General features: G+C 36.2%; 1 long non-coding RNA gene across 1 annotated transcript in view; it reads left to right on the forward strand.

The window, feature by feature from the left end:
• The window catches only part of PCAT4 (prostate cancer associated transcript 4), a 35,777-nt gene extending 30,917 nt beyond the window's left edge, over nucleotides 1-4,860 (forward strand). Inside the window, exon 2 of the long non-coding RNA NR_026555.1 lies at nucleotides 2,903-4,860. This is a non-coding gene — a long non-coding RNA (prostate cancer associated transcript 4). The remainder of the gene's footprint in view (nucleotides 1-2,902) is intronic.
• The last annotated feature ends 5,837 nt before the right edge of the window (nucleotides 4,861-10,697 follow it).

Below are 10,697 nucleotides of genomic sequence, written 5' to 3' on the forward strand. Positions count from 1 at the left end.
GGTCTTCAGGGTCACCAATGGCCTCCACATTGCTAAATTCAATGGTTAATTCTCAACGTTCATCTCCCTCTTCAGTGTTTGACACCGTTCAAACTCTTTTCATCTGGCCGCCAAGATTTCACATTCTCTCCGTTATTCTCCACCTCAATATCCACTTCTCCTCTGGCTTCTTTGCAGGTTTCTCCTTATTCCTCAACTTTTACACAATGGAGTGACCCGAAGCTCAGTCCTCAGACCTCCTCTCTTTTCTCCATACACATACTACCTCTAGGATTCATCTAGTTTTTTTTATTTTAAGTACCATCTCCATGATGATGATTCCCAGGCTTACAATTCATTCCAGGAACTCTTCTGAACTCTAGACACATATACTTAGCCTATTGCCTAATTTATATTTCCATTTTGATGTCTAATAGGTATCTCAAACTTATTTTATCCCCAACTTACCAATTGTCAAAGCCTTCTCAGTCTCAGTTAATAGCAACTTGTTCCTTCTCAATCCTCAGTTAAAACTTTGAAGTTATCCTTCACTCCTCTCTCTGTCAGTTGACTCACATCTTGCCTGCTAGAAAATCCTATTGGTTCTACCTGCTAAATATATCTAGATTCTCACCTTATCTGCCTCCATCTATTGCTTCTACCCTTTAGAAAACCAGTATAATCTTTTCACTGAATTATTTCAAGAATAATTATGAAGAATTTTGTCTGTACTTTTGTCTGTACTTTCACAAGTCCACATACCTTCCAGCCTAGTTCCAACACATCAGCCAGATCATGTCAGTCCTTCTTGCAAAATTTTCTGTTGAGTTCCTGTCTCATCATAGTCTAAGCCATCATCCTTAGAAAGGCCTAGAAGGCTTTCTATATCCTGGCACCATTTTCCCTCTCACCTCCTTTCCCACTCTTCTGTCTCTCTGGCTAACTCTCTTACAGAAGGAGCACTGGCTTCCTTTGGGTTCATGAACATCCCAGCCATACTTCTGTATTGGAGCTTTTGTACTGTTTCCGTGCCTGGAAGGCTCTTTCCCTCAGAGAGGCTTACTCTCTCTCTCCCTTCAGGTCTTTGTTGCAATATTACATTCCCAGTTAGGTCTTCACTGATCACATTTTGAAAATTGCACCCACCCCCTCTCCGCACTAGTGCTCTTCTTCCTCTTCCTTGTCTTACTTTCCTCCATAGCACTTGGCATTAGCTAACATTTCTGTCTCACCCTACTCCGTGCAGGCACAGATATTACTGTGTAGCTGAGGTTCTATCAGGTTACAACTGCACACTACTGGTTCCTGCCACAATAACTGGAGTAAAAATATGACTTAAGAATATGCGAGGTAGGGCATACCCTACACAGATTACAATGGACACAATAGATTTTTTCATACCAAAAGCCAGCCTAGTTCTTACAACCTATTGAAAACACTGCCTCTATGCACTTCTTTGAAGTGATTGTGTGGAAACAGGTTTGAAACAGATTTCCATTTCTCTATTTGCTTAACCCTTTGACTTAGCCCATTGGTTAAAAAAAAAAATTATGGTCAATTTGCTATACTTCAAGTGAAAAAAGTATTTGACATTATTGACGTTTCTCTATACCCCAACCTGCCAGTTTGTTATGCCTCTGGAAAAGTGACCCTTCTTGTGAAGAAGTAAGAACATAAATAATTTTGGTAGCATGTTCAGTTATACCATGGTTGGGATGTCTTGACAAATGAATTTTAAAACCCTATTTTAACAACTTGGTATAACCAACTAAATATAAAAAAAAAACTCTCTCAATATGTGCATTTGCATATTTACATGTTTTCAAAAATAAAGAGAAAATACATAATATTTAGGAATATATGAAAATCATTTTTACAAGTTACAGCTGCCTGATAACTCATAAGTAATGAAACTATAAAACATCATCTCTAATGAGTAAAAACATTTGTGATTTCACACTTCCCACATCGTTTACTCTGTTTATAAGAATTGCCTAAGATGTTTTAACATGTAAAAAAATTTAGTGGTACTTTATTTAACTATCAAAACTAAATAGATATATCTGTACAGCTTGGCAATGCTAAGCTCTTATCTGACAAAAAGATCCTTTGGAATCTTTTACATTGGTAGCTCAGATCATGCATCATAAAAAATTTTGTGTAACTCAGATCATGCATCATAAATTCTGTATTTTGTTTTCTAATCATTGTAAATGACTCTGCCTTAAATCTTTCCATATAACAGAACATTTTTGTGGGCGTAATGATATAATTGATCTCTGAATTTAAATACATACGTATTCATAAATGTATTCAACTTTTAGGTCATTTTAGGGACAGAAATCAACAGTAGACACATTGTAAGTTCAAAAATATATTTTTCCAACTTAAAAATTCCAAAAATCACTGGGAAATTTCAAATTTTAAGCTCACAGCATTCACATTAATTATGTGTACATTTAATCATACAATATCACTTTCCATGTCAATATATTTACCTTCTTTAAAACTTTTTCCTAATATAAACGTAAGGAAAAGTGAGAACTTATATTTGTTCAACAATCTACTATGTAACAGTACTTATAGGTATTGTTATCTGACTTTATAGTTGTTGAACTAAGTTTCAGAAAAGTTAAGACATAAATACTCATTTTGGTAAGAATCGTACTACAAGAAAAAAGATACAGAAAAGTGAACTGCTGAAATGAGAAAGAAGCCAAGGCAGCATTTATGGCATTTAGATGGGGGCAGAAGAGGACAAAAGGGATGGAGAGATCAGAGAAGAAGCCAGTTACTGGGACCTGGGTACAACCTGGGCATGTGATTCTGACTTCATCAATCATGGTATCACATCCTATGGCCATGGTATGTATATATGTAATTTTTTATGCAAGGGCTTACAGGAACTTTTCCGTTCCCATAGGGTCACTGAAATGGGACGACATGAACTCAAGGAGGCTATTTATGACCATGTCATTTGCAACATGAAGAAAGCTTATCTGGAGTGAAAGTAAATGAGACCAACAGAGATGAGAGACCCGGAGAAATCCTGGTTACACTGCTTGAATCCTGTCAGTCCTATACTGGAGTCCTGTTAATACAAAATAATAGTAATAATCCCTCTGTTTCTTATGTTTATGCCAACTTCAACAAAAAGAAACTTGACTAAGAGACAATATAAGAATTTAATGTGTAATTAAGAAAGAACTCTCCACCACGGGGAATGTGAAAGGTATATGAGTCCCTTTTCACGATGCGATGTCATGTCTTTTAAATAAGCCATACTTTATGTTCAATAAAAAGAGAATAAGCAGGATTCGCAAGAGAACACAATCCCTTTTTAACTGCTGGGAAGATACTTTTAGTCATTAATGACTGGACGACAATTTGGGACACATATATGGATATTGGCCGGTTTGTGATGATGTGATTGGGCCTCTAAGTGACAACATTGTTCCCTGTATAGAGTGAGTGGCAAGTGCATTTATAAAATTGGCCATCATGGCTGTTAAATTTATGAGTCTAGAAGTGTGCCTCTCAAACAAGTATTTGAGAGGTTATCATGAAGAAAAACAAAATTAAAATTATTCTGCTGAGCTCTCAAAGGCAGAACTATTGAATCAAAATTATAGGAAGGAAGGTTCAAACCAACAATAAGAATGCCTCTCTTGCATTCCTCATCACTAGAAGTTTCTGATAAGATTTTTAGAAAAATTTAGACAGTATTCTTGAATTGAGCAGGGGGATAACACAGAGATAATTCAAATGTGGTTTGATGAACTTCTAAAATGGTTCCAACTATAAACTTCAATTATTCTAGCCTCCAAGACCTACACATAACTGTGCAATGTGCAAATTATTCAATAGTAACATAGAATTCTGAATAATTAGCATTTTCTCATGGTTTGATATTTGTATAAAGCAATCTTAGCAGTCTGAATAACTAGAATACTTCAAAGCAATATGTTTTATTGCTTTATATTTAAAGAAACCATGTCAGACATTTAAAATGAATGGCTGCTATCAGGAAAATGGATCTCAAGACACAAGAAATAAATCACAATGACTTCCTTATTTGTGGAAATTCTTCTTGTACTAGAAAGGAAAAGTAGAAGTATGGGAAAATGTCTTCCAGAAAATTACATTTTCCCAAAGTTTATTTTAAATTTTAATAATTTAATCAACCATCTGATTCTGATTTCAAGTGTCACAGAAGTTCATTTTATTATAAACAACAACAAAAAAACTTTGTAGTCTTGTAAACACTGGTGACAGAGAATAACACCACTAACCATGCTGAGCAGAAAACAGGAGCCAAGTAAGGGAAAAAGATTCTTTATGTCACTCATCAATTTAAAAGTGTTTTTCACCCCAGGACCATCCTGAAGCCAAAACTGGGGAAACATTTACTACTTTTACAAACAAAAATTTATATTCCATCCCTTGCATGATGTGTGTGTCTCCGACATTTGGTTTCTGTCTTAAGTGTCTAAAGAAAGGCCTTATTTAGAGCAAAATACATTTTTGTGGGCATTGATGTGAATTTCAGGTCTGGGTTATCAATGACCTAAATTGAGAAAATAGAGGGGCTGTGTGGACAAGGAGAGAGAAGAGAGCATACAGCTGCCCTATGCCGTTGCTCTGTTCACAGTAAGGATTGAGCCATTCTAATCCCCTTGGATTTTTTATCTACCAAAACAGCTTGGGCCCATCAGCAAATTGCAGTGGCATATGGTCCAGGTTTACGAGTAATCTGGCACATGATTAAGGCAAGGGGGATGTCATCTTTCAGCAAATACTGAAAATATTGTAGAAGAATTTGGTAGAGTTTTTAAATTCAAACTGATAAAATTGTAACTATTAAATACTTCCCCAAATCAACAATTTGGATTTTGTCAAATTGAAACTTTCTTTATTTGTAAGAAGTTACCATAGGGAAAAATAATGTCCAAGATATTAAGAAATAGGAGTTCTGTTTCTCAATTTTAGGATCAATAGCTCGTATGCTGCTGATTCAGGATCTGATGTGGCTACACACCATGCTTGTGTTTCAGGGTGGACCAAGTTTACATTTCTCTGCAGTCAGATTACCATTGTACCAACAACTATTCTAAGGTCCCAGTGAAATAATTTGGACATTTCCAAAAGAGATAAGATGTGAAGACATGTACAATAATAGCTGATGCCTAATATAACCTCATCTGTGTTTCTCAAACTAAAGTAAGTATCCAGCTACAGCAGTGGTTTTCATCCCTGGATGCACATTAGAATCATCTAGGAAGATTATAAAAAGTATCAATGCCACCCACAGAGATTCCAATTAATTTGTCTTCAGCGAGGCCCGAGCATTAGCATTTTTAAAATGTACCCTAGTATTTCCACTGTTCACCCAGAGTTACAACTCACTGAATTAGAGCAACACTCTAGTGTGCCAGGTGGTACACAAAACCACAGGATTAAAAGCTAAACACATCTTTCCGGAAAATCCATCTGTCTCAAAAATTTGGGGAAGAAAATATTTCATTATTTTTTGTTCTGCTTAGATTATTATACATGTAAGACATAAGATATGCCTTATGTCTTATACGTATAAGTCTAAGATGGGTGTAATGTGTAGCAAAATATAAAATTCACATGAAGTTTTCAGGCAAAACCATGTCCCAGCACTCTAAGAGGAATAAGGGCATTCATTCATTGTTTCCTTCCTTCATTAGACATTTCTGAAAAACGAATACATAGGATACTATGCTTTCATTGAGACTACTTTAGTGTTTTAAATTTCTCCCATATGTTTACTCATACACAGAAAGCTAGTAACTACCTACTGAAATATTTATCTACTCATCAATTTTGGCATATGTATGAGAGTTCATTTATTTGAGCTTGTCTTTTAACCATTGGGAAAACATGTTTTTAAAGGATCTTTAATGCTAAACTGCATTTATGTCTAAACAAGTAGAGCAGTAACAGGTATGATCACACAGGCCTGGCATTGATTCTAATTTTTTCACAGATTATTTAATATTTATAACTTTGAGGACCTTGAATAAACAATCCAAGTGGCAGAAAGAAAATAGGTAACATTTTCCCTCTCATTTTGCTTAATATCACAGTGGTCTTTAGAACAACAACATAGCACCAACAATTTTTCAAGTTTTCAGGTTTTTCTGGGCATTATATTCTTACTCTATCAAGCACTTTCTTATCTGATTAAAGCTGGTTAGTGCCAAACAAAGCCATGACCACATAATCCAATATGCGTATGACAGAATTAAATTTCCCTGAACCTGTACTCTCAGCATCTATCATATGAGAGACAGGCCAAGTTTAACTTCATTGTCTTCTAGTCTCTTGTCTTTGCAAGTGAAGTCAGTACTCCCTTCAGAAGGATTCCAGCAATGACTTCTGCCAACAACCTTCCTCACTTTTCTCCCATTTTCTCTTCAGAGTTAATTAATCTAAAAGTACTCATTAATCCATCTTAACTACAGCTTGCAGAGGAGAAACAAAATAGGAGTTTGATTTCACTCTCACCCAGGAAATTTTTGCAAAAATCTCCTGCTGGGTAAAATCAACCAGTGACTATTTGGCCAGCTGCAAAATCACCATAGCAACACGTCACTTCATCATGTCAAGACCTGTGCACTGCCTGGACTTTTAGGAGGGCTACTGTATTCAGTGCTACAAACTGACACAGAGGAACAGACGTGAGAGGTTCATGGCTATGCTCAGTTAGGAAAAATGTCTCATGCCTTAATTTAAAATATTCATGTTGAATATTTATATTATCTGGAAATCCCCACAATCATAAATCCTATGCATTGGAGCAAAGCTTTGAGTAGGCTAAAAAGTTCACTGATTGATGGGGGGGAAGAATGAAAGAACTAGTGGCACCAAGGCAGATTCCCACAGTGAAAGGATCCAAGTTTCTTCCTCCATTTGGCAAAATCAAAGTGAATTTTAATGACTTGCATGGAAAGTTATTTAGGTGGGCAAGAACTGTTTCGTGGTCTGGATTTTTAAAGTGAGAAAGCAAAAAGATCACAGCAGGAGGAAATTGCAGCCTGGGCCAGAATTAGTGGTAAAAGGTTTGGAAGTGATTTTCCTGACTTCCCCATGAGTCATGCACATTCTGAAGGTATTAGAGAGAGTCTTGGAGAAGTGAGCTACTTGTCCCCAGCAAAGACGTTTCCAGGGCTAATAGAGAAAGAATTAGAGTCAAACCATATAGTCAAGAAAGCCAAGAGGACAATAAGACACAGGATCCTGCAGCAAGCCCATGGAAGGAATAAAATATGGATGGAGGTAAGATTAATTGGTTTACTGATAGAGATCACACCCAGAACTATCAAAGCTGTAAAATCTTAAAGTCTTATCCACTGATTTGAATACAGATTCCTGTACTTCTAGCTATCTCATTTCTACTGTTAACATCCATCTTTCCTAACTTGAGTGAGACTTAGAATTTACCCACATTTCTGTTCTTATCCATTCATCAGTTTCCTCTTGTTCCCATTTCTCATGTGGACAATAATCCAGTATTGAATCGCCCCTTTGACTAGTCCTCAATTCTTTTGCCTCCTCCTGCTGCATCTGCCTACCATAACCTCAATCTGGCCAATACTACAATCACTACCAACTAAAATGGAAGAGGTGGGAATAAAATGTCAAGCTATGCAGATCTGTGTCACTGCAAGTTAATGATGTCAAACTAACCCTTAATATTAGCTAAAAATCTGTTTGTGTGTTCCTACTCAGCTTGTCTCTTACTATCCAGACTAACCATTCCTATTTTACCTGCTTTTCTCAATTCCCTATCGATTAATCTCATTCTTTACTCTCAGCAGAAGGCTTACTCTCATATTTTACAGAGAAAACAGAGACAATAAAGTGAAAACTTGCCCGATTTCACACCCACCCACCCACATATTTGCTATATTTGCTTTCTATTTATTTTTTCTCCTGTCTCTTTAAAAAATTGATTTTATTCCCCTTTCTGGAACTAGTCCTGCTATCCCCTTACACTCCCATCCAGAAGTTTTTCATTTATTCTTTCTTATCATAAATTTCTGGACTTCACCCTCTCCATTGACATCTCTCACCTACAAGATTGTTCAAGTGTCTGCCAGGAAAAAAACATTCTCTCTTAACCCTCTACCCTCTATCCATCTCTAAGTACCACTCAGTCTCTCCCCTTCAAAAATTAGTCTATACCTGAGAACTTTAATTTCTTATCACTCAGTCTCTCCTCTTCAAAAATTAGCTAATCCAGAAAATTGTCTATACCGGAGGACTTTAATTTCTTATCATTCACTTTCCTCCTTAACTATTCCTATCTACAGCCACTGCCTCTACTTCACTGAAATAATTCTTCTAAATATAGAATGACTATCTATTCTGGTTTGCCTGGAGGACTCCTCATTTATACCTGTTGTCTTATCACAATTATTAATAACAATCATTTGCATTCTCAAATATATTCTATTTTAGATGATAATTTGTATTATCACCCTTTCCACTTTCCAATGTGTAACTTGCTTTGCTGCGCTGCAGCGATTGCCTCTATAACTTAGGTTCTTTCTTTAAATTCCCTTGACTTCAGGAAACCAGCCCCATGCTTCACCAGCTATTTCTTCATAGTGTCATTTATTATCTACTCTTTCTCTACCTGCTTCTTAAGAGATAATCTTGCTACAAGCTTATCCTTTGGCCAATCCTCCTGGATAATATATTCATGCTAATGGTGTCAATTACTACCAAGTATGCAATAATTCCCAAATATACATATTTGCCAAGGTCTTTCTCTTCATCTCTAGACCTTTATATATAACTACCTTTATATAAAACTACCTGTGAGAATTTCCACTTGAATGCCTAAAAAGACACTGTAAATGGAATGCAACTCAAATTGAACCCATCAGTTTTCCTACCGATCTTTCTCTCTTCCCAGACTACTCTAGGTGAATGGCAGCACCCATATGCATCATTGAAATCATAGACCTAAATGTCATCTTTGACCTCTCACTTTCCTTTACTCTCCCATCTCTCCAAATTTATCATCAATCTCAATTAATTCTACTGCTAAAATGTTTCTCACATTTTTGACACTTATCTATGTCAACTCTGACTACCTTTAGAAACTTATTTGTTCTTCCTTTGTTTACCATAAAAAACCTTTTAACTGGTCTTTCTACATGTACTTGTAATCACCTTTAACCTACCTGCTACACTGCTACCTCTTTGATTTTTCTAAACCCTACAGTGGCTTCACTCACAGTGACTTCAGGTAAGGCTCTTCATAATAATTATCTATCTGCCCAGTTCTTGCACTTGCTATGTACCAGTTATACTCAACTAAAAAGTACTGGTTGAGCCAAACACTTTTGCATGTGCTTCTTCCTTTCCCTAGAAAGACTCTTCTACCACTCCATTTTCCAAATTAGTCTCATGTGGCCTCAATATCAGCTTCCTCTGAAAGTCTTCCAGGTGGGTTTAGGTGGCCCTTCTTACAAAGCATCTCTTGTTCCTTAAAAAACACAGAGCTTGTCATCCTGTACTGTAATTGCAAAGTTACCATCCATCTCTGCTACTAGACTATGAACTGTGAGACCTCTTTGCATCCATGGTGCGTAGCATGGGGCTTTACACAGAGTAGGCACTCTGTGAAGGTTTGTTAAAAATAATTTCATGGATGATTATCAACCAACTACAAATAATTTCTAATATAACAGGTAAAATACATCTGAATAATGCATTTTTAAAAAATAACATTTCTTTTTCATAGAAATATATGAATTAAATTGAGAGATTTAAAAATCCTGCAGAACTGCTAAAATTACTTGGCTGAACTCTGCTCCATGGTTCAGGGCTTCATCATGTAACACCTGTAGCTTAATTATTTTTTCTTTGTTATTTATTATTTGATCATTAAGTCATACCTTTCTGTTTGTTATGGCCATATTAAGGATGTGTTTATGCAGTAATTCAAGTGTTCAGAAAAGCATACCAGCCATTAGCAAGCTCCTTTTCTTGTACAGCCACCTGCCTGCTTGTTGGGACCTTTTCTCTCTCCTAACTTTTGTGTTTCTGAAATACTTTTAAACTAGATACTATTATGTAGACTCTTGGTATTATGTTATTTCCATTCTTTCATACTCTCTTTCTTAGCCCATTTGTGAAATACAATATTTTAAATTTTGTTTAAAAGAAAAACAGTAAAAGAGAAATTCGATAGGGATCTATGACTGAGGAGAAGAAAATAAAAGCTCCTGCTTTAGCCATGTCATCCCTGGAAAGTATAAAATGACCTGTTACTAAGAAAAAGTCTGAGCATCAAAGAGGAAATTTGATACAACATTAAACGAATGTATGTCTCATGATTCTTCTCTTCCAACAACAACAAAAAACACTGAAATATGACACATTCATATTTAAAATGAGAAAAGCTCTCATTTATTATTATGGACTGAACATATATGTCCCCTAAAATTCATGTATCAAAATCCTAAACCCAAATGTGATGGTATTTGGAGGGGACCCTCTGGGAGGTAATTAGATTTAGATGAGGCCATGAGGGTGGGGACTCGTGATGGGATTAGTGTCCTTATAAGAAGAGAAAGCTATACCAGAGCTCCCTCTCTCACCATGTGAGGATACAATGAGAAGGTGGGCATCTAAAAGCCAGGAAGGGAGGTCTCACCAGAACCCAAGCATGCTAG

Source organism: Homo sapiens, chromosome 4, assembly GCF_000001405.40.
Source record: "Homo sapiens chromosome 4, GRCh38.p14 Primary Assembly".
Classification (NCBI taxonomy): Eukaryota; Metazoa; Chordata; class Mammalia; order Primates; family Hominidae; genus Homo; species Homo sapiens.